General features: G+C 42.4%; 1 protein-coding gene across 35 annotated transcripts in view, besides 1 other annotated feature; it reads right to left on the bottom strand.

Moving 5' to 3' along the window:
• The window catches only part of KANK1 (KN motif and ankyrin repeat domains 1), a 275,809-nt gene that overhangs the window by 208,072 nt on the left and 43,287 nt on the right, over positions 1 to 24,450 (bottom strand). For 15 of the 35 annotated variants that reach the window (XM_047423041.1, XM_047423067.1, XM_047423060.1 and 12 more), the window contains one exon: positions 14,026 to 14,139. The exons of the other annotated variants lie outside the window; for them this stretch is intronic. The gene's annotated coding sequence lies outside the window, so the exon portion shown is untranslated. The remainder of the gene's footprint in view (positions 1 to 14,025; positions 14,140 to 24,450) is intronic. 35 annotated transcript variants of the gene reach the window in all.
• Positions 606 to 818: a silencer, noted in NCBI's record as "fragment chr9:537214-537426 (GRCh37/hg19 assembly coordinates)". NCBI's record gives its function as "represses an EF-1alpha promoter that drives an FKBP-Casp9 reporter gene in an ReSE screen in HepG2 liver carcinoma cells {active_cell/tissue: HepG2}" and the evidence as "EXISTENCE:reporter gene assay evidence [ECO:0000049][PMID:32094911]".

Raw genomic sequence — 24,450 nt, 5'->3', positions numbered from 1 at the left:
ATAGCTTAACAAGAGAGAGGGGAATCAACAGTAAATAAATGTTTGAGCCTACTCAGGGCAACTTGTTGTGTTGAGTGAGAAAATAAAAGGATGGACCCTATCCTCAAAGAAATTAAATCCAGGAATAGTGTTAAGACACACGAAAATAAGTAAAATAGAAAACACTCCTTTCTCAATCAAGAGTTCTCCACCTCAGCACTACTGACATTCTATAACTCTTTGTTGTGGGCTATTCTGGGCATCTCTGGCCTCTACTCCCTAGATGCCAGTAGCACCCCTCCCCAAAATCATGGCAACCAAAAATGTCTCCAAACACTGCCAAATGCCCCTGGGGGGCAAAAATCGATCTCCCACCCCCACCTGTTGAGAATCACTGCTCCGAATGGCACAGGTGTTGAAATATACCTATTATTATTATTTCAGGTTATTCCAGGGCTTCATCTTAGGTGCAAGCTTTCAGAGTTCTTTTTCAACATATGAATCAATCAAGATTTATAATCTCAAGAGAAAAAAAGAGCCCCCCCAAATTACTTGTTTATCAAAGACATTAGCAACACTTGAGAGACAATTATCCCAAACCTGTGGCTTGTTGAAAAATTAATTTATCCCATCCATGCTTTGATCTTCTAGCAAATTATTTTCTGAGACAAGATTTAACTTGTGAGGGCCTGACAGGCTAACCAGCTGTCAGACAGGAACTGGTATCAAATTCCAAGTGTCAAGTGGAGAGGAGGCTTCTCGTCCTCCCCAAGGGAACCCTGCTCAGTAACATACCAAATGTCACAGAGGGGTCCAATTTTCCCACGCAAGAGCAGAGGTGCAAGCATCAACGCAGCTTAGCTTTGTTTTCAAAGGAAAAAGAGTTGTTTAGGAGGTGGTTTCATTTTATACTTCAGTATTTCCGTTATGAAAGGGTTCCTGTTGTTTTAGTTTTAGTTCTTAATTTCACCATAAGCAGGAGAGTCACAACTCAAGTGGTCTCCTCGCTTCTCTCTCGCTTCCTTGTCCTAAAAGAGAGAAGGAGGTAGCTTCCAGTCTTCCAATGGGTCTTGCTCATCTCACACCTGACCTGCAAGGTGCGTGCTGCCAGCCAGGTGGAACAGATGCACCCTGAATAAAATGCTTGATTAGAAACCACACACTTTACTTAAAGGGGTGCCGACTGCGAACTAAGAGAGTTAACTGTATTGTGTCTACACCTTATCATGTGTGGCAGGCAGAAAAATGCGCCCCCCAAAGGTGCCCAACTTCTAATTCCCAAACCTGTGACTATGTTACATTCATGGCAAAAGTCATTGTGCAGACGGCATTAAGATTAAGGACTTTGGGATGGAGAGATTTTCCTGGATTATCTAGATGGACCCAATCTAATGAGTCTTTTTAAAAAGTCTTTTATTTCTGTGGTCAGAGACAGAAAGATGGGATCACATAAGAGGAGCCAGAAGAAATGTCAGGCGTAAAAGGGACTAAATTTGCCAGTGGTGGCTTTGAAGATGAAGAAACGGGTCACAAGCCAAGGAATACAGGCAACCTCTAGAAGCTGCAGCAGTAAGGAAACAGATTCTCCCCAAAACCTTCAGAAGGAACTGGTCCTGCTGACTTCTTGATTTTATTCCAGTGAGACCTGTGTCCAACTTCTGATCTACACAACTGTAATATAAAAAAATGTGTGCTTTTGTGTATTTTTTTTCTCAGACAGTCTCGCTCTGTTGCCCAAGTTGGAGTGCAGTGGCATAATCTCAGCTCACTGCAAACTCTGCCTCCTGGGTTTCAAGTGATTCTCTTGCCTCAGCTTCCCGAGTAGCTGGGATTACAGGTGCCCGCCACCATGTCTGGCTATTTTTTTTATATTTTTTAGTAGAGACAGAGTTTCACCATGTTAACCAGGATGGTCTTTAACTCCTGACCTCAAGTGATCCGCCCACCTCAGCCTCCTGAAGTGCTGGGATTACAGATGTGAGCCACCGCGCCCCACACGTGCTGTTTTAAGCATGAAATTTGTGGGTTTTATTACAGCAGGAATAGAAAACTAAAAGACTTTAGTACCTGGAAGTGGGGTGCTGTTATAACAAATACCAAAAAATGTGGAAGTGGTTTTGGAATTGGGTAGTGAAGGAGCTTGGAAGAATTTTGAGGAACATGGTAGGAAAGGTTTACGTTGCCTTGAACAGACCTGTTAATAGAAATATAAACAATAAAGACTGCTTGTGAGGACCCAGAAGACTGCTTGTGACGAGCATGGTAGAGAGAACATAAATAGCCTTAGAGAATATCTCAACTGTCAAGGACACAGGAAATCACAAATACCATGATTCTACAGCCCATTTGCTGCCTACTGTGCACCAAGCAAGTGGAGCTCCAAGGCGGGCAAAGGCCCTAACAACTCAGGGACAACTCTGTCACTCAGCAGGTGTACTGTATTGTCTGTTTCATCTCACGCTGAGAGTAAAGCCATTTTCCTTACATGTTACTAATTTTAGCCCTGTGACCTGGGGCAGACCACCTCTCTGAACGTCACTTGGAGATGATCATAGTACCTGTGAGGTCACACATGAAAACTCACAGTACAGTGCCCAGTACAGAGTAGGCACCAAAAATGTGAGCTATTTCTCTATCTGGAGAGAAAGAAGTGTGGGCAGGAATAGATCCTTCCTTTCTCCCACAGGAAAGCCCCCGAGGACTCTTCTCCCAGGGAAGACGTAGGGCCTTTGCATAAGGGAAGGAAACAGATGCAAATGTAGGGGATCCTCAAGAAGCCACATACATCAAAGGCAAGGTTTGGGGACCTAATGGGGTTATTCCAAAAGCAAGGGACATAGGTACTGAGGTCTGAGGAAAACTGCCCTAGGCAACAGAGAAAGAAAAAAAGGAGGCTGCGTTGTTTCTTTGGGTGACTCTATTGCTGGAAACTTGCCCACTGCAGTCTGAGAACACTGGGCAGAGTTACTGTGCCACTCTCAGTGCCAACTTGGACAGGAAGTGATGTGGCCAATCCCACGGCTGCGAGGCCCAGCAGGAGGGGCAAAGGGGGCATCCTCAAAGAAAGACATCATTTTAAATTCTCTGGTCTGGCTTCTTACCTCAGCTTCCCCTCGGCCCAACCTCCACCCATCTCCATCCATGGAATTACAATACACAACTCAAATTAAAAGACTAATTGTTCCCACATGGGCAAAATTTTACATAAACTTATAGAATTTTCTACTTAAGATGAATAAACAGCTTTCTTATTGTAAACATGTTTTAGTGTTGGTGCTTTTATCAAGTTTCTGGGAGAAGCCATCAGAGGAAGAAAAAAGGCACTAGAAACATCTGATCCTTTCTGTCTCTTTACATCTGTACCCTTGACTATAAATCACAGTAATTCATTCCCCAGGATGAACAATCAATAGTTAAATGTCAGCCAGTAGGCTGCTGCATAACTAAGAGGGGGAAAAAATCACGCTAGGAGTGATCAAGATAAAACTAAGGGGCAAATGATTAAATAATTCTCTGCTGGTATGTTTCAAAGACGTATGTCTGCCAACATGGTCCAGATTTTTTGCTTAAGAGCGGCATTTTCCCCTTTTCTTTCGAGAAAATCTCCTTAGGTCCTGCTGAAAAGATATCACATCTTACATTACTTTCTGTTGATAGTGAAATCCACAGCCTCCCCAGCAATGTGATTAAGGCACAAATTTTTGAGACCAAAGCACATGTAGCCAACCGAGCACAATAATACTTTCAAAAAAAGAACAAGTTTCAAAAGTTCTTCTAACAATTCCATTGTTCAACATTCACAAGCTGGAAGAACGTACATTTCTGCATTTTCTGAATTTCCACAAGTTGGGTCAGTCTAAAGGCTCATTCTTCACACTCCCACAAACTATTTATTACTCTATGCCCTTTCCAAGCAAATCGAGATAGGCAGTTATCAAAGCAGATGCATTATTTGGGTCCACCTGAAAACAACTGGTTCTGCCCCCCCCTTTCTCCCAATCTGCAAGCTTCTGTTCATCCCTGTGAATAAAAATGCAGAATGACAAAAAGTCTGGGTGACTTACATTATTCTCCTTATCTCAACATAAATGTGAAATCTGGGGGTGTCAGCTAGTCAATCTCCAGGTCCTCGTAAAAGATAATGTGCCTGGTGGTTTTGTTTTGCTTTTCACAAACATGGAAAAGGGGAGGCATGGCTTAGAGGCAACTACATAATGAACTTAGCTGCTGAAAACAAATTCCAGCCCACTTCCAGAAGATGAAAAACAACACATAATGCATAGAAACTGTTCAAAGCTCCCATGACCTTTGCATCTGTCTCACTCTATCAGGAACTAGAAATGCCACCTCAGTTTTGACAGACTGGGCCTCCAAAACACAGCCTCTCTCATCCTTGGCTTCTCACCCAGCAGCACCACCTTCAAACCAGGGACAGTCCAGATACCAGAGTATGATCCAGTAAAAACTATTCAGGATTCAGATAAGTCAAATAAAAATCAGATGGTCTAAGAGTGTTTTGGAGGAGGGTAAAATATATAAACAATTTTCCATTTTCTATGCCTGTGCAGGAGCACTAGGTAGTATTTAGACTGTGCCTGCCACTTTAAATGCATTATGCCTTACCTCATCTGTCCCCCACAAAAAGCCCAGTGATAAATTTTCTCTATGTCCATTCTTCAGATGGAAAAACAGACTTAGAAAGGTTAAACATGCCTAAAGTCACAAACTGGCAAATCTAAACTCTGTACCCACACTAATGCTCTTAACCTAGGCTTAATATCTACGATATACAGTGATTAGCAACAGATTCTAAAAACAGCTATGACCCCTCCAAATTGCCCTTGGGGTTCAATGAATTTTACTGAAAAAATTAATGATTATCTCCTTTTTTCAACAACCTTTGTTCAAAACCTCACACACTCAGCTTTGCCTCTGACTGGCAATAAGTCACAATATCTCCATGGCACTGGCTTCAAAGCAATGCAAATATTCAAAAGTGCTTTCCTCTTCAAAGACATCACTGCAGGACAAAATCCAACTCCAAAACTGTTCCGACCAGCAACATGGTGCCAGAGATGCCCCATTATCGTCGGCAAAACACCCGGCCTCCAAGCACAGCCACCTCCCTGTTCCCTCCTGCAGCTGTGTACACAAGGTTTATTATACCCCAATGGCCAGCTTTGCTTTCTTGCCAAGAGATAAGAAAAACAAGGTTGAGACCCTACTGCTGGTATGAAAATCTTCGATCCACACTCCAGAAATCTGGAAATGCACTTCTACATAATAAACTGAAGCAGTTTTACGCACTTCCAAGATATTCCAAAAACAGTGATAAAGGCTATATTTTATTCCCAGGGTAAGGCTTAAAGGGCAAATAAGATGCTCACGCCAAGTAGCTTGGTGAAGACTTTCATATAAGGAATGTTAAGCTTCTGAGTATCAACTATATGTCTAAATTTAAAAATAAAACAGTTAGAACGTAGAATGGTTGTTACCAGGGGCTGGAGGGAGTGGAGGGAAATGGGGAGTTAAGGGTTGAATGGGTGCAGAGTTTCTATTTAGGAAGATGAAAGAGTTCTGGAGATGGATGGTGATGATGGTGGCACAACAATGTAAACATACTTAACATCAATGAACTATACACTCAAAATGATTGAAATGGTAAAAAAAAAAAAAAAAAAAAAAAAAGTGCTTGAGGCAGGAGAATCGCTTGAACCAGTGAGACAGAGGTTGCGGTGAGCCGAGATGGTGCCACTGCACTCCAGCCTGGGCAACAAGAGTGAAACTCTGTCTCAAAAAAAAAAAAAAAAAAAAAGACAAATGCTCTCAAACTCCTTTTAAATCTCTGTACACGAATGCTCTCAAACTCCTTTTAAATCTCTGTTCACCGTTATGCCTAAGTGGGGCCCAAGTCCCCTTTAGAGTCATCCAAGGAAAGGACTGACCACAGGGGCTCAGAGTGGCCCACAGACGATTTTACAGTCTAGTCTATAACGCCTCTGTGTTTGTGCTCATGTCCAATGAATGTTTTACACTTATTATCTTACAGGAAAAAAACAAGTTGTTGAAATTCCTCACTCATGTGCATGCTGCTTGGAGGCCAGGTGGATGTCTCAGGTGAGCATCTAGACAAAAGTTCTCTTCTCTCTTGGTATCACAATGTAACACAACAACAATCTGGCCCACACACACACAACACACACACACAGAAGCAGCCACATTTTTTCCCGATATATGGGCTATTTCAGAGTAACAGTGAGGACAGACGCCAGAAGGCGTTTTATTCTGCCACAGTTCAGAATAAAATGGTCTCTGGTTCACTACAGTCTCTTTTCTACATCTTAGGCAAATAAAGACTTTTTTCACAGAAAGAAAGGCACCAATGCTGCTGTACTCCAGTTAACTACTGATGCTGTATTTTCATCACCTGAGACTGGACCAAGAGTTGCATCTCAAATGACAGAGTCCCCACAATCAAATCTCTTTATCCAACTCTCAAATTGAGTTTTGCTTTGCAATTGTTGACCTATTTAATTGCTTTTTCTCTTCCTCAAGCCTGAATGTTCTGATTTGTAAGCCGATCTTGATCCCAAATTAAGTACTACTTTATTTTTACTTTTTTGAGACAGGGTCTCACTCTGTCACCCAGGATGGAGTGTAGGGGTACAATTACAGCTCACTGCAGCCTCCACCTCCTGGGTTTAAGCAACCCTCGCACCTCAGTCTCCTCAGTAGCTGGGACTATAGGCACGCACCACCACATCTGGGTATTTTTTATAGAGGGAAGGTTCTTGCTTTGTTGCCCAGGCTGGTCTCAAACTCCTGGCCTCAAGTGATCCTCCTGCATGGGCTTCCCAAAGTCCTGGGATTATAGGCATGAACCACTACACCCAGCCAATTAAGTACTTCTCACTATTGTTTTAGCATCTGTTTCCCCCTCATTGGAGGGATTTAAAAAAAAAAGGAAGCAAACCTTGAGTTAGAAAACTCTGACCTTTACCAGCCTAGGTCCCTAAACATTCTTTGAGTTACATAAAATATGATCAGTTTCCTTTAAAGTTTGCATAATTCATTTTTTAAAATTATTTTATTTTATTGAGATGTTGTCTCACTCTGTCACCCACGATGGAGTGCAGTGCCACAATCATGACTCACTGCAGCCTCAGCCTGCCAAGTAGCTGGAACTACAGGCATGCCCCACCACGTCTGGCTAATTTTGTATTTTTCATAGAGACAGAGTTTCATCATATTGTCCAGGCTGGTCTTGAACTCCTGGGCTCAAGCACTCCACCTTCCTGGGCCTTCCAAAGTGCTAGGATTATAGGCATGAGCCACCGCTCCCAGCCACATAATTCATTTTTAAATACCACTACAAAACTGACAATTAACATCAACAATAAAATATTTAATACAAGCCCAATCCTCCCTAATACAAACATATTCTTAACAATTAGAATAGTGTCACAACTAAAACATGAATAGCTCAACATCACAGAGCTAGGCAGAGCAACACAACAGAAGTCAAGAAACAGAAGTCAAGAAACAGACACATAGGCATGGGGGATTTAGTCAGAGGGAAAATGGACTATTAATAAATGACTGGGAAAACCAGTAGCCATCTGGGAAAAAAAGTAAACTTGGATCCATATGTACTAAAATAAATTCAATATGGATAAATAATTTAAATATAAAAATATTGAAACTACAAAAGTACCAAAAGAAACCCTGGACATTTTAAAAATAATAATTTTAAGATGGGGAACGCCTTTTTCTCTTCATGATATTAAATCCAAAGACTTTAAAATAAGCTGCTAATAAATTCACCAACATGGAAAAATGTAATATAACCCGAATCAAAAGATGAACAAACTGCAAACAACTCCAATTCTTATCACATGAGGGGCTTATTTCCCTTAGGTATAATGTCATACAACTTGGTAACAGCCCAATGGCAAAGGATATGAACAGTTCGCAGAAACACAAATACAAACAGCTCTTATAAATTTATGAAAATATGCTCATTCTCCTAAGAGAAATGCAAATTAAAAACAGATGAGATACCATTTTTTACTTAACAGATTGGTAAAGATTAAGAAATGTCATAACATACTGTACTGGCAACGATATAAAGAAACAAGTGCTTTCATGCCTTGCCTGTGAGAGCATAAGTTAGCACAGCTTCCATGAAAGGCAGCTGGAGTAACATCTGTGAGAAGTACAAATGCACATATGCATTCACCTGGTAATTCCATATTCATCACACATGGCACTATCACGTGTGAGCATAATACACGTACAAAGTTACCCCTTGCAGCATTGTTGGATGTAGCAAATCAATAGGAAACTGATTAAACAAAATATGGAGTTTAAAATCATACTATGCTGCTCTTTAAAATGATTTTAAAAAGAAACCCATACCTCCACATGGAGCAGTCTGAAGACACATGGTTCTATGAAAAAAAGATGCATAACAATATATGAAGTCTATTATCATCTGTGATTTCACAGGGAGAGAGAATATGATCATATACACACATTTTAAAAATATGTATGAGGCCGGGCGCGGTGGCTCACACCTGTAATCCCAGCACTTTGGAAGGCGAAGGCAAGTGGATCACGAGGTCGAGAGATCAACACCATCCTGGCCAACATGGTGAAAGCCCATCTCTACTGAAAATACAAAAATTAGCTGGGCATGGTGGCGCCATTGCACTCCAGCCTGGCGACAGAGCAAGACTCCGTCTCAAAAAAAAAAAAAGTGTATATATGTGTGTGTGTGTCTGTGTGTGTGTGTATATGTGTGTGTGTGTGTGTGTGTATATATATATATATTAACAGAGTTATCTCTGGAAGGAGGAATACCAGTTGCCTGTAAAGAGAGAATATGGTAGCTAGTACAGGAAGTGGGTGGCTTTTCACTATACACCTTTTACATCTTTTAAATCTGAGCCATGGGCCAGGCACAGTGGCTCACACCTGTAACCCCAGCACTCTGGGAGGCCAAGGCAGGAGGATCACTTGAGTCCAGGAGTTCAAGACCAGCCTGGGAAACATAGTGAGACCCTATCTCTACAACAAATAATAAATTAGCTGGACGTGGTGGTATGCACCTGTAGTCCCAGCTACTCGGGAGGCTGAGGTGGGATGATTGCTTAAGCCCAGGAGGTCAAGGCTGCAGTGAGCAGTGATCATAAGACTGCATTCCAGCCTGGCTTACAAATAAGATCCTGCCTCAAAGAAAAAAAAATTGAGACATATTAGCTTGAAAATGGCATGGTGGCTCATGCCTGTAATCCCAGCACTTTGGGAGGCCGAGGCGGCTGGATCACCTGAGGTCAGGAGTTTGAGACCAGCCTGGCCAACATGGTGAAACCAGGTCTCTACTAAAAATACAAAAATTAGCTGGGCATGGTGGCGGGCACCTGTAACGCAGCTACTTGAGAGGCTGAGACTGGAGAATTGCTTCAACCTTCAACCCAGAAGGCAGAGACTGCAGTGAGCCGAGATCAAGCCACTGCACTCCAGCCTGGGTGACAGAGTGAGACTCCGTCTCAAAAAAAAAAAAAAAAAAAAAAAAAAAAAAGTTATTTTTTAATTCAGTAAAATGGTTGTAAGGTAAAGCTGAGGAAATCCACCAGAAAATGGAATAAAAAGACCAAGACATAGAAAATAGGAGAGAAAAAGGTAAGATAATCAGAGGATTGCCCAGAAGGACCACCAACATTAGAAAATGCAAATTCAATGAAAAGAGGGAAAGTTATCTAAATATAATTTTTTAAATGTTCCAATAATTGAAAAACATTAAGTTCCCAGTTTGAGAAGGCCATTGTGTGCCCAGAAAAATGAATGCAAAAAGACCAATCAGAATACTTGGACAAAAAGAAAAATCCTAAAAAGTTTTTTTTTTTTTTTTCCCGAGACGGAGTCTCGCTCTGTTGCCCAGGCTCGATGGAGTGCAGTGGCACGATCTCGGCTCACTGCAAGCTCCACCTCCCGGGTTCATGCCATTCTCCCGCCTCAGCCTCCCGAGTAGCTGGGACTATACAGGCGCCCGCCACCACGCCTGGCTAATTTTTTGTATTTTTAGTACAGACAGGGTTTCACCATGTTGGCCAGGATGGTCTCAATCTCCTGACCTTGTGATCAGGAGTGCTGTGATTACAGGCATGAGCCATCGCGCCCCGCCCCTAAAAACTTTTAAAGAGAAGTGAGGGGAAACTCTATTTTTTTTTTTTTAATAAAAAGCTGGAACTTAAGGGAACAATCTCTTTAAAGTTCTGAGGGAAAAGGACTTTCAAACTAGAACTGTACACCTGGCCAAACTAGTAAGTGTGAAGGTAAAAGAAAAAAAAAAAAAAGACAATTTAGATATGCCAAATCTCAAGGAGACTATCTCCCTTGTAACCTTGTGCAGAAGCTGTTGGCCAATGCTCTCTACCAAGACCAGAGAGCAGCCGAGTGTAGTGGCTTACACCTGTAATTCCAGCACTCTGCGAGGCAGAGGTGGGCAGATCACCTGAGGTCAGGAGTTCAAGACTAGCCTGGCCAACATAGTGAAACCCCATCTCTACCAAAAATACATAATTAGCTGGGTGTGTTGGCGCCTGCCTGTAATCCCAGCTACTTGAGGGGCTGAGGAAGGAGAATCACTTCAAACTGGGTGGCGTAGGCTGCCGCGAGCCAAGATCGCGCCACTGCACTCCAGCCAGGGCGACAAGAGTGAAACTCCATTTCAAAAACAAACAAACAAACAAACAAAAAACACACAAAAACCAGAGACCAAAAGAAACCACAAAGGAGGAGGATACCATAGTATCCAGGGAAGAGAAACAGAGAGAAGGTACAGAACGGCCTGGAAACTTCAGAAGGGACGCCTTCAGGAAGAAAGGATGAATGGACAGCTACCCTGAGGTGTGCAAACACACAGAAAGGAAGGTTAGGCTTCAGTTTGGGAATGAGTCAGTGACAGGTACTTAAAACAAGCACTCAAAACAATGATTAACTCTGGGTGGGCAAAAGCTGTATGAGGAAGGAAATATTTAAATTACATGTCTTGGCTGTGAATTATTTCCAGTCTAAATAATACTATAAACATTATATATTAATCAAACAAAAATCATATTAATATTACAGCAGGAGAAGAGACGTGTTGGGGGAAGTCATAAGAGTTATATCTTCATCTTCCACAGTGTGAGGAAAGTAAATATCCAAAATTGAATTTAAAAAAATCAAGAAATGACATGATAAGCATGCTTTCTCAAGATACAGTCATTTTCACAGATCTAAAGCAGTCAAATATCAGCATTTTCTTATGGTTCAACATCAGAAGATAGATGAGAGATTCCTCTGAGGAGAGGGAATCAGGTGGGAAAAGCAGGGCAGAAAGCTACTGTTTTCATGGACGGTTTTGTAGAACAACTTGACTTTTTGAAGTATGAGAAGACACGTACATAAAACATTGCTAAATTTCATTTAAATAATTTTTTGTAATTTTTATTTTTTTGTACAGAAAGGGTCTTGCTAGGTTGCCCAGACTGGTCTTGAATTCATGGCCTCAAGCAATCCTCCAGCCTCGGCCTCCCAAAGTGTTGGGATTACAGGCACGAGCCACCACACCCAGCCTTAAAATCTGTCCTAGAGCCAATATTCAAGGGTTTTTCCCATATGAGAACCAATGATGGTCTTATGTGTGCTGCTCCCATAATAAAAGCCATATTTCAAATCACATCTAAGTCTAAGACTTCTAGGTCTACTGCTGCTGGTGCTGCCCACCAGCTCCTACCTGTGGGCTGGGGAACAGTCATTGCTCTGCCGTCCCGTTCTCTGGGAGAAATGCCTGAGAGACAGCACCAGGATCACACTCCTTGAAGACTTCAGAATTTTTCAGGTTTCTCATTAGCTCCAAAATTTTTATAATTGTAAAGTGACTAAGATCACAAAATAAAATCAGAATTCCTACTTTTGTGTTCTCCAAGAAAGGCCCCATTCTCCTCAGAGGCAGAGAGGGATACATGTGGGTTTGCATGCACAACTCAATTAAAAGTAACCTGAATAAGAAACAACTAATTTGTCAATGGCTTCAGGTAACCAAATTTCAGAAACAAACTGATCCTTTATTTTAGAAATTTTAGAAAAATATTGATCCTCTGGGTGACAAATGCATTTTTTTTTAAAACTAACTGTGAAGTTTTCCAAGAGGTCCTTGTGAAATCCCCAATTCCAGTTCTAATGGAGAAACGGCAGCCAGGGGAGCAGGGAAACCAGCCCAACCTTTGCTGCTTATTCTCCTATATCACAGGGCTAACATCACCACATGCCTCCTTAAATAAAAATGCAACACTTATTAGAGCCATTGACAAATCTGGCCAGCTCAAAAATATGAAATTCTACGGCTTTTTGTATGCCTCACTTTGGGAAGCGGAGGCAGGCAGATCACTTGAGGCCACGAGTTCGAGACCAGCCTGGCCAACATGCTGAAACCCATCTCTACTAAAAAAATACAAAAATTAGCAGGGCATGGCGGCGCATCCCAGCAATCCCAGCTACTCAGGAGGCTGAGGCATGAGAATCGCTTGAACCAGGGAGGTGGAAGTTGCAGTGAGCCAAGATCATGCCACTGCACTTCACTTTGGCCTGGGCCACAGAGCAAGACTCTGTCTCAAATAAATACACACACACACACACACACACACACACACACACGTATGTATACATATTCTGTCAGAAATCAGGGTCCTTGGGTTTAAGAAGCAAGAGTTGGCTGGGAGCAGTAGCTCACGCCTGTAATCCCAGCACTTTGGGAGGCCAAGGTGGGTGGATTACCTGAGGGCAGGAGTTTGAGACCAGCCTGGCCAACATGGCAAAACCCCGTCTCTACTAAAAATATAAAAATTAGCCAGGTGTGGTGGCGCATGCCTGTAGTCCCAGCTACTTGGGAGGCTGAGGCAGGAGAATGGCTTGAACCCAGGAGGCGGAGGTTGCAGTGAGCTGAGATTGGTGCAGTGAGCCAGTGCTCTCCAGCCTGGGTGACAGAGTGAGACTCTGCCTCAAAAAAAAAAAAAAAAAAAAAAGGCAGCAAGAGTTTGGGATTGACTAACCAAAGCAATAAAGCAATAGACAATAGTAGTTTACAAGCATGTTAATACCTGTATAAATGAAATTCAATCAAACAGAAGCCTGTAGAGAGACAGCATACCCAAAATTACTATTTCAGAACACTGATCAAAACCAGTAACGAGCCGGGCACGGTGGCTCACACCCATAATCCCAGCACTTTGGAAGACCAAGACCAGCAGATCACCTGAGGTCAGGAGTTTGAGACCAGCTGGCCAACATGGTGAAATGCCGTCTCTATTAAAAGTACAAAAATTAGCCGGGTGTCGTAGTGGACACCTGTAATCCCAGCTACCTGGAAGGCTGAGGCAAAAGAATCGCTTGAACCTGGGAGGCGGAGGTTGCAGTGAGCTGAGATCGCAGCACTGCACTTCAGCCTGGGTGACAGGCCAAGACACAGTTTCAAAAACAAACAAACAAAAAACCCCACAATAAGTGACATACTACTTGAAACAATGGTGCCAACCTGGCCAAAGCTAAAATAAAACCAGCCGTAAGCTAAGATAAACAAATCTCTGTAATAAATGAATTCTCTTCCTTTGAAGATTGACTTGAATTCTTATACACATACACTCCAAAAAGTTACTTGAAAAGTCAAACAATAAAAGGCAGAGTTATTGTCAAGAAAAAAAAAACAACAAAAAACTACAGAACGACTTAATCAAGTAAAGGCTGGGGAAAAGGGAAAGGAAGGGAAGGGTTGTATTACTTCACCAGCAAGTTGAAGCCAATCACTTTCACAACTGAGCATGACACTTAGTTCCTGGCATCCTGGTAGCCAAAGCAGAAGAGGGAATCAGGTAAGTTGGGAGTCCCTGTTCATCAAGGAAATAAACGTTTTCCTAACAGTGAACTGAAATATATATTTCCTCACATAATGGGTTCTGAACAGCATAGTAAATCCTTATCAGCAGCTCATTTAACAGCAAATACCTATTTAAGTGTCTTCTGCGTTTCCAGTTCCGTTCTAGGAGCTTGATGTACCACCAACCAGCAAACCAGCTAAAGGTTCCTGCCCTGGAAAAGCCCGTATTCTACTGGGATATGCTGAAAATAAACAATAAATATAATAGGTAAATTCCATAATAATACTGGTTAATTTTTGATATGGAAAAAAAAAAGAAGAGGCCAAGCGGATTAAGAGAGACCTGGAGTGCCAGGAGAAGACAGGTTATAACTCTGAATAATCACAGCACTGACATGGTGACATCTGAGCAAGGACCTCACTGAGGTGAGGACAGAGCACTCCAGCCCCAGGAAGGAGCCAGTGCAAAGGCCCTAAGGGAGGCAAAAGGGACACCTGTGGAAGAGCAGAGGTGGGGGCGAGCACAGGAGAGGCTACAGAATAACAAGGGACCGGGCAAGGACAGCCATGGAGTTCACTGTAAAAACTTTTCCTCCCATAGAAACAAGGAGCCAACAGAGAGTCTACGCAGTGCCACAATGTGACTTTTGTTTTTAAAAGATGGCTGTTGAGAATGGATTGCAAGGGAAGCAGAGAGTCCAGGTATCAGGCTAGTGCAGTAATTGAGGTGAGAGAGGATGGTGGCAGTGGAAAGAGGGAGGACGATGCAGATTCTACATATATTTGAAGGTGAAACAGGATTTGCTACTGAATTAAAGGTAGGGTGTATGAGATAGGGGAGTGAAGATGATTACAAAGTTTAGGGGTTTTACCACTAGAAGTCTGTGGGGAGAAGGAGTTTGGGGGAAATAAGAAATTCTGTTTGGGTGACGTTGAATTTGAGGTGGCCACCACACACTCGGGTGTAGATACTGGGGAAGGAGTTGGGCCTTACAGAGTGGAACTGGAGAAAAAAGTCAGAGCTGGAGACCTAAATGTGATAATGATTGGAATATCAACCACACTTAAAGCCATGAGAGAAGATGAGGTCACCACGAGAATGAGTGTCTACAGAAAAGAGATCAAGAACTGAGACCTTACAGATGATCATGTTTTGCATTATCCATCAATACAAGCAAAAGGCTAACATTAACTCAGGGAAGGCATTTTCATGGGAAACCACAGCTCAGCAGTGCAGGCATTTAGCTTTTGGGCCAATTCTGGCTTAATTCCCATGAGCTGTCAGCACCAAGGGAGGAGTAATGAAGTGAAAACCAGGGTAGGTCAGAGGCTGGTGGTCAGGAGAGCACAGGCAGGCACACATTGCTAAGCTTAAGGAGTGCATTAGAGTTTACAGAATTCTATGAGATACCAAAGTCACTCATCAGAAAATACCAACTTAAAAACCCAAAAGTCAGCATGAAGTCCCTTCCAGATCTGTCCCTGCAGAAGTAACCATTATGGTCTTTGCCTTCTGCCAGTTCAACCCCACTGTGGGTCCCAGGCCTGGAGAACAAACCCTGGGGTACACCAGGACCCCCTTCCTCATGAGCAAAAGGGCTCAAAAAGAATGCCTTTCTCCAAGTCTCAGCACTGAGACAGAGTACTGAGTACCCCCAGTATGCCACAGAGCATATGCTCTGCTTGTGAAAACCATGAAAGAGACGGAGTGAGCACAGAAAGGAGCGTTAGGAGTGCTATCCAGCTGTGTGTATGTGCACTCCCCCACACAGAGTCCTCTTAAAACTTTCAACTGCATGAAGGAACCACGATATATGTATCTGTACCCAACCTTGGTCCAAAAACACTTGCGGCATCTTTCAAAACTAGATGTAACTATATTTACCTTTAATTTAAAAATAAATAAATTCAGCAAAAGGGAAAACAGAATCGTAAAATGAGACCTAAATTAGTAAATAACCATCATGAAATTCTCCATTTCTTTTTAACAGTGGGATATAAATTTGGTCAAAGCAATGAGGAAATCACAATCTCTTACAATATTTACATTATTCAACAAATCAAACATTTTCCCAAGAAATGTGCCAACATTTTCTAATACCAAGGCCTACAGCAACTTTTCTAACAGTTCTCCAAAAAAGGGCCACTGAGAGAGGCAAAAGGGATCACCATGTATGAGCTGCCTGTGGCTGTTTCTTAAACTCTTCTCTATTTCTAAATAATGGAAGCTGAAGACATAGTAGACGTTCATTCAATAAAAGAATCTGAGCCAGGCACAGTGGCTCATGCCTGTAATCCCAGCACTTTGGCAGGCTGAGGTGGGTGGATCTCCTGAGGTCAGGAGTTCGAGACCAGCCTGGCCACCATGGTGAAACCCCATCTCTACCAATAATACAAAAATCAGCCACGCGTGGTGGCGCACACCTGTAATCCCCAGCTACTCGGGAGGCTGAGGCAGGAGAATCGCTTGAACCCAGAAGGCAGAGGTTAAAGTGACCCAAGATCACACCATTGCACTCCAGCCTGGGTGACGAGCAAAACTCTGTCTCCAAAAAAAAAAAAAAAAAAAGAATCTGGAGGGAAAAGAAAGTAGAGAATTCCAAGTGCCCAGTGTTTGATGAAATTTCATGAATGAACACCATCTCCCAAAAACAAGTTTTCACTAAGAGCTGGAAGCAGGTTAAGAGCTCAGGAAGAACCCCAAGTGCAGCAGTCTGACACCAGCTGAGGCTTGGTGCACCTACTTTTTAAAAGTCAACCAAGCAGAAGAGACTTCAGCTTTCTCATAAAAATTACAGAAGCTACCTAAGACTCTTGCCTAAGTAGATGGCCCCCACACCTCATAAAAAGGAGTGTGAGGGTGAACATGCAGAAATGGCCAAGATCCCCCACAAAAAGAATCTCAACATGTAGATGGTGAATAACCAATTGAGGCACAAACGTTCTGTTCCTCACAGCAATGTATGACTTTATTTTGTCATCTTGCTTCAAAGAATTCCGATTTCATATCTTTTATATAAGACAGAAATTTCCTAGTAAGAACATCAGCAACAGTTCATCAGTTTCATTTTTGAAAGAAAAATACCAAGACAGACTGATGAGGCCTTAATAAATTTTATTTCTGTCAAAAGGCCCCATCTCTACCCTTCTCTTGACAGTAGCATCCACTGTTAATTGGCTGCCAAAACCATATTAAATCAGGCAATTAAACAAAAATCATCTGACCAATAGGATACTAACAATGCATGCAAAATCAAGATATAAAAGTCAAGAGAGGAAGAAGTGTAACTTCTTGATTAAAATACAGATCTGGAGCCATGGGAAACAACTAATGGAAAGTTACCAAGTTGTTGGTACAGCTCTCCAATTCATAAAAGATTAATCAGTCCTGTCCAAAAACTAGACCCTGTTTTCCATATCTAGGCAGATTTCTGAGGCATAATCTTTTCAAAATAAAACCCAAAGTGCAGATTTAACCAATTCTAAAAACTATTTCTGAATCAGAACACAGGCCATTAAATTTTTTGAGTTAAATATAGTCTTCCATTATGTTAGATTATATTGTTTTCAATTATTCGCTAACCTCCCTGAAAGAGGATTATATCCCCCATTGTCACGTGACTTATAGCATCTCCAGATGGAAGAATTAACCACACTTCTCTACCACATTGCTGGCAGGCCTGGCCATATGACTTTCTTCAGCCAAGTGAAGGCGAGTAGAAGTGACACACAAGCAGAAGTGTTAATAACTATGAATGAACTGGTCACTTCCTTTTTAATTTTTATTTATTTTTTTGAGACAGGGTCTCACTCTACCAAGCAGGCTGGAGTGCAGTGGTATGATCACAGCTCACTACAGCCTTAACCTCCCCAGGCTGAGGTGATCCTCCCACCTCCACCTCCCAGGTAGCCGGGACTACAGGGGCGTGCTACCACACACGGCTAATTTTTGTATTTTTTGTAGAGATGGGGTTTTGCCATGTTGCCCAGACTAGTCTTGAATTCCTGGGCTCAAGCGATCTATCCACCTCAGCCTCCCAAAGTGCTGGGATTACAGGTGTGAGCCACCGCACCCGGCTATGGTCATTTCTTTTCTTACCCTCTGCCATAAGTATGTCCCAGAGTGGAGTGGCTCATTAAGTCTAGAAATTAAAATGTATTGTTTTAAGTCACTGAGCATAACTAGACTAATATGAGTAATGAAACCACTTCATTTTTAAAGCTGTTTTAATGATCAATGGAATGGAATGAATGATCATTAAGTTTTTGCCTTATAAATGCATGCTTTAAGGGGAGGAGAAAAATCTAAATGACTTGTTTGTCTGACCTTTAGAAGACCTTATTGAGAACAATAGTAGGTTCAAAGACGACAAGGCTCAACAGCTCACCATTCCAAAGGCATGTAATTAATCTCTAACTGATGGAGGATAAAACAAGGATCGAGGTTATAAACTTAACTGGCATACCAGTCTCCTGGCAAAATAAGGAAATGTAATTGTCTGGGATTTTATGAGAGGTCGAAATCATTCCAAAAAGTCCAGGTTCTTCTTTAGCTTTTCAGTATTAGGCTCTGCATGGAAATCTTACCAAGATCTGAGGATGTGAATAGTTTCACAAATGATTGCTTAAAAAAGAACTTAATGAAAATCACTAGACCTCTCAAACTTTTCTCTAGAAGCCAAAGAAAAACAATACCCAAAGTTAAGACTCCTCTCATAGCTACTCCTATGAAAATATACAAGAATTAAAAACTTAATTTCTGAAGGAAAAATATTCAACACCACCTTTTGCAAATTTGTGGCAGATCCTGAGAAGTTGGAAGTTCAGAGAAACTCAGAACACTTACTAAGTTAAGGCTGACAGATCTTGATATCCAGAGGCTGTCGTGAGAGCGGGCTTTGGGGGAAAAGACACAATTATAAGGTGCCTAGTAAAAGTTGAAAGACACTGGGCGCAGTGTCTCATGCCTATAATCCCAGCACTTTGGGAGGCCGAGGCAGGCAGATCACCTGAGGTTGGGAGTTTGAGACCAGCCTGACCAACATGGAGAAACCCCGTTTCTATTAAACATACAAAATTAGTCAGGCCTGGTGGTGCATGCCTGTAATCCCAGCTACTCGGGAGGCTGAGGCAGAAGAATCACTGGAACCTGGAAGGGGGAGTTTGCGGTGAGCCGAGATCATGCCATTGCACTCCAGCCTGGGCAACAAGAGCGAAACTCTGTCTCAAAACAAAAAAAAAAAAATTTAAAGACAATGCTAAGAAACTCCATATAGGCTTCATGGAGTTGTGGTTTCCTACAAGACTTGGGTCCCTGAGCCTGCCTCTACCCTTTACTTCCTGCCAGAGTTCCACCTCTCTTGTTCACTGTATGTCATACAGGGTCACCGCCCTTTCTCCGCTCCTCTAGCCTAAAGTAAACAAGGTGGCTCTTTGAGGACTTTTCCTAGGGAGTTTTATAGTCAGGAAATACTACATCCTAGGTCTTCCTTCATCTTCCTCCCAGCTCCTCCTCTTTACACACTTAAACACCACGGAATGACAATATCAATATTTCTTTCCAAACACAAAGAAGCAAAGAAAACATACACCTCGCAGGAAATAGTAGAGTTTCGATTCTAGAACCCATGCTCCGAACCCCTCCCCTACATCGAATCAGATCCCCTTGAAGTGTCTGGCCGAAAAGTATAGGTAAAAAGCCAGGAAGAAACGGTAAAGTAAAAACTGCCCTGGGCCACTGGGGGTCAAGGAGGGAGAAGGGGAGGCTCGGGATGACACAACCCAGCCTGGGAGCGGAGCTTAAATACAGACTTCAACATGTGAACAACCGCTTTAAGCCAGGACTCAAATCAGATGGGCCTCAACAGGTAAGCACAGTTATCTGGTCAAACTGGATGTGAGGTCAGAGGTTTACAACACTTCTTTTGAAAAGTTCCCAAGAAAATGATTCACAAACTATATAAACTTCAAGCCCCTTTAGCAGTGTTTCCTCCTTTTGCTATCAAAGTTGACAGAGCAGGAAAGAGTGACACTTTTTTCCACAGTACTAAGGCTACTTTATCAGATCATTTGGGGATGGCTAAGAACCCTCAAGGTTGGCCGGGCAAGGTGGCTCATGCCTGTAATCCCAGCACTCTGGAAGGCTGAGGCAGGTGGATCACTTGAGGTCAGGAGTTCAAGACCAGCCCGGCCAATAATGTGAAACTCCATCTCTACTAAAAATACAAAAATTAGCGAGGCATGGTGGGGGACTCCGTAATTCCAGCTACTTGGGAGGCTGAGGCGGGAGAACTACTTGAACCTGGGAGGCGGAGGGTCCAGTGAGCCGAGATCACGCCACTTTACTCCAACCTGGGTGACAGAGCGAGACTCTGTCTCAAAAAAAAAAAAAAAAAAGAATCCTCAAGGTCTTATTACTCGTTCTTAACCTCAAAAGGTGACCCACCGGCACACCCTTCCCTACAACAGGCAGAATTGAGCCCAGACATATTATCCCCACTCTTTCTCAGGAAGAGATGCTTACCTTCTCTAGAAAGTGTGAAAAAGCTCTATAGGCACATAGGATTTCACTAAAGGAAAAAAAAGGCTTCCCTATTTTCCCATGAATATCCTAACAGTAGGCTTTTGTTTCCTCAGGTTGGCTAAAATAAACCTAAAAAAGAAACAAAAAGAAACAGTGTTCTTTATTAGCCTAAAAACTAATCGAAACCGTCCCGACAAAACACAGCTTGCAGCCGGGCCGCAGTGGCTCACGCCTGTGATCCTAGCACTTTGGAAGGCCGAGGCAGGCAGATCATGAGGCCAGGAAATCGAGACCATCCTGGCCAACATGGTGAAACCCTGTCTCTACTCAAACTACAAAAATTAGCTAGGCATGGTGGTGCATGCCTGTACTCCCAACTACTTGGGAGGCTGAGGCAGGAGAACTGCTTGAACCGTCGGAAGTTGCAGTAGCTGAGATCACGCCACTGCACTCCAGCCTGGGTGACAGAGCGAGACTCCGTCTCAAAACAAAAACAAAAACAAACACAAACAGCTTGCTGAATTTTGGAAGGATAACTAATAGCTCCCTCGTGGCTCTGAGCCCACCAAAAAACACAAGACGGATGTGTGTGTGTGTGTGTGTGTGTGTGTGTAGAGGGTGATGAAGAATAGAAACCACACTCAGATGCACACCTGGCAGGGCATCTGGGGCCAAACCTCATTAGGACAAATTTCTTCGTAACCCAAGTGTTCAAACTTACACTGATGGAGGCATGAAATTCCTAATCACCTGAAGGACAGGTACCCCCCAGCGGGCTGCTAAGCCACTATAATGATAACTAGTGAATCAATAGCTTCATGCAGATCTGACAGCCTTAGTATGCTACTGATAAAATGATCCATATTCATTCAACAAGTATTTTTGAATGCCTATGAAGTATAACCTAGTAACTCCCCTCCCACCTGGGCCCATCATAAAAGGCCTTGCTATTCCTCAAGCCAGTGTCTCTGCACTGCACTTCGCACCCACATTTCTGTCATTCCCAGCATTATGAACAATTTTCAGATCCCACTCTACAGCCAAAACCGCTCCCCTTCCCTCCCCACTGACTCTAATAAAGACCCACCAGAAAGAACATCACTAAGTTCACATGATCTCATTTGGGAGCTAGCCCTGAATTCCCTAAACTTCAAAAAAGGAAAAATAATATACAACTTTCATCAGCAGTTATTTGAATCGCTTCTCCCAACTGTTTCATGCCAGAGCTGAGAAACTGTGATGAATTAAGCAATCTTCAATCATGTCTCTCAACCACCTTTTCTTGATAGGAATTCAGCAAACTTTCCTCCTACTCCTGAAGTATAACTCCAAAAGGAGTTAAAAGTTTGGTGTCTCTGGAGGCAGAGAAATCTTATTCTGCCTCCAAGGTCAAAAGCCTGAATTCTCCAAAAACCCTTTAGATAATCTGACCCAGGACATAGTCTTGCCACCAAGAGGCCAAACAACACCTGTAAGTACCTTACAGATATTTAAGACCACCTTGTGTCTGTCCCCTGATCAGCAATACACCAATAATATTTAAGGGAAGATGGAATATATGCACAGAAGTACAAAGCTAGATGACAGCTGCATGTTGGATTCCTAAAGAGGCATACAGGTCTTAAAAAGAAACAACTGAGAGGATAAAATAGGTGCCCAGAATAAAAGCTAAAGGAAGAAATCTCAAAATGTCAACAGGAAATAAATCAAAACGAACTCAAACACATCAAACCACACGTGAGGTTTCCTTGAAACTATGCATTTCATTTGCTAAGAAGTGACAAGAACTTAACAGCACTGCCATCGAAGCCTCACAATATATAGCTTATCCCTACGTTAACAATTCCCCTTTTTAAAACCCTTTAAAAAATGGTGCATCAGGATCTCAAGTTTTCTTTTACATTTATGTGGAAATTTAATTCCTGGAAACTATAGAACATGATTCAAATTCTCCTATAAAAATGTCAAAGTGAAAGGCAAAAATAAATAGACTGAGTTAACAAATTAGAAAAGTTGAAAGAGTAATACAGTATGAGCAGTTTCATCCTTTAAATACCTTAATTCTCAGAACTAGTAGAGTTATCCATAAACTTCTGTTCTTTAAATTTTTATTAGAAGTAAATTCCTTGAAATACATCTCTCATAAAACTAAAACAAAAAAACACAATAAATGTGTAGAGAAACAGAAAAGCTAGAGTGGTTAAAGAACTGATACAATGTCTCTAGATGAATTCTTTAACTGGCTTTTTTTTCTTTTTTTTTTTTTTGAGAAGGAGTCTTGCTCTTTCACCCAGGCTGGAGGGCAGTGGCACGATCTCGGCTCACTGCAAGCTCCGCCTCCTGGGTTCACGCCATTCTCCTGCCTCAGCCTCCCGAGTAGCTGGGACTACAGGCTCCCGCCACCACGCCTGGCTAATCTTTTGTATTTTTTTAGTAGAGATAGGGTTTCACTGTGTTAGCCAGGATGGTCTTGATCTCCTGACCTCATGATCCACCCGCCTCTGCCTCCCAAAGTGCTGGGATTACAGGCGTGAGCCACTGCACCCGGTCAAACTGGCTTTGTTTTTCTACTTTGCTATGCAATAAAATAAAAAGTATGAACCCTTTTTGAGGTGTTCATCTTCATTAGTCATCTAGGGAATCAATAACACACGTTTACCAGATTAGCTAAAATAAGACAACAGACAATAACAAGCACTGTGGTGCAACTGAAACTCATACACCACTGCTGGGAATACCGCTTGATAAAACCACTCTGACGGTACCTACTCCAGTTGAACTGCATGGCCCAAAAATTGCACTCCTAGATATATATCTAACTTAAATGTGTACCTATATTCACCAGAAAATACATACAAAATCATTCATGACAGTACTGTTCATACTGGTCCAAAACTAGAAACCTAACGTTCATGGACAACAGGATGAACAGCAGTATATTCACATGATGGAACACTATACAGCAATGAGCATGAACCCATAACCACATACAACATGGATCAATCTCACAAATATAACATGGAGAGAAGCTAGACACGAAAGAGTACATGCTCTGTGATCTCAGGTACATAAAGTTCAAAAACTGACTAAATTGATCTATGATATTAGAAGTAAGGATACCCTCGGGGCAAGAGTTGTGACTAGAAGGGGATATGACACCAAGATGGTCAGATTGGTCTGTGGCTCCATTTGGGTAAAGGAGATGAGGGAGTATTTGGCAGAAAAGTGAGCTGAACCATCTCATAACAGGGATAATCCCATCCCCTAAAAAGGGCTACCCTGAAGCTATTATTTTTAGAGGAAAAAGCAGCTCTATTGAGATGAATAGGAAGGAAGGAAGGAAGGGAGGGACGGAGGGAGGAAGGAAGGAAGGGAGGGAGGGAGGGAGGAAGGGAGGGAGGGAGAGAGGGAGGGAGGAAGGGAGGGAGAGAGGAAGGGAGGGAGAGAGGAAGGGAGGGAGAGAGGAAGGGAGGGAGGGAGGGAGAGAGAGAGGGAGGAAGAGAGGGAGGGAGTAAGAGAAGGAGGGAAGGAGAGGAGGAGGACAGAAAAGAGAAAAGGTGAATACAGTATTTATGTTTCATTTCAACTTTTGTTCGAGACGGAGTCTCGCTCTGTCACCCAGGCTGGAATGCAGCGGCGTGATTTTGACTCACTGCAACCTCCACCTCCTGGGTTCAAGCAATTCTCCTGCCACAGCCTCCCAAGTAGCTGGGACTACAGGTGTGCACCAGCAAGCCCAGCTAATTTTTGTATTTTTAGTAGAGATGGGGTTTTGCCATGTTGGCTATGGCTGGTCTTGAACTCCTGACCTCAAGTGATCTGCCTGCCTCGGCCTCCCAAAGTATCTACTTTTGTTCTAATTGCTTTTGTTCTATTTTTTCCCAAGGTCAAAGGGTGAACCAGTCAGAATTAACAACAGAAATCTGAAAAAATTTAGCCAAAAATATTATGCAGATATCAAACACAAATTTACATTCTTGCCACTAACCAAGTCAAATTTTATTAGTAAGACAAATATCAAAAGAGGTTA

The sequence above is a fragment of the Homo sapiens genome, chromosome 9 (genome assembly GCF_000001405.40).
Source record: "Homo sapiens chromosome 9, GRCh38.p14 Primary Assembly".
NCBI lineage: Eukaryota > Metazoa > Chordata > Mammalia > Primates > Hominidae > Homo > Homo sapiens.
Note: the sequence above shows the minus strand (reverse complement) of the source record. Positions and strands in the feature narration are given on the sequence as shown.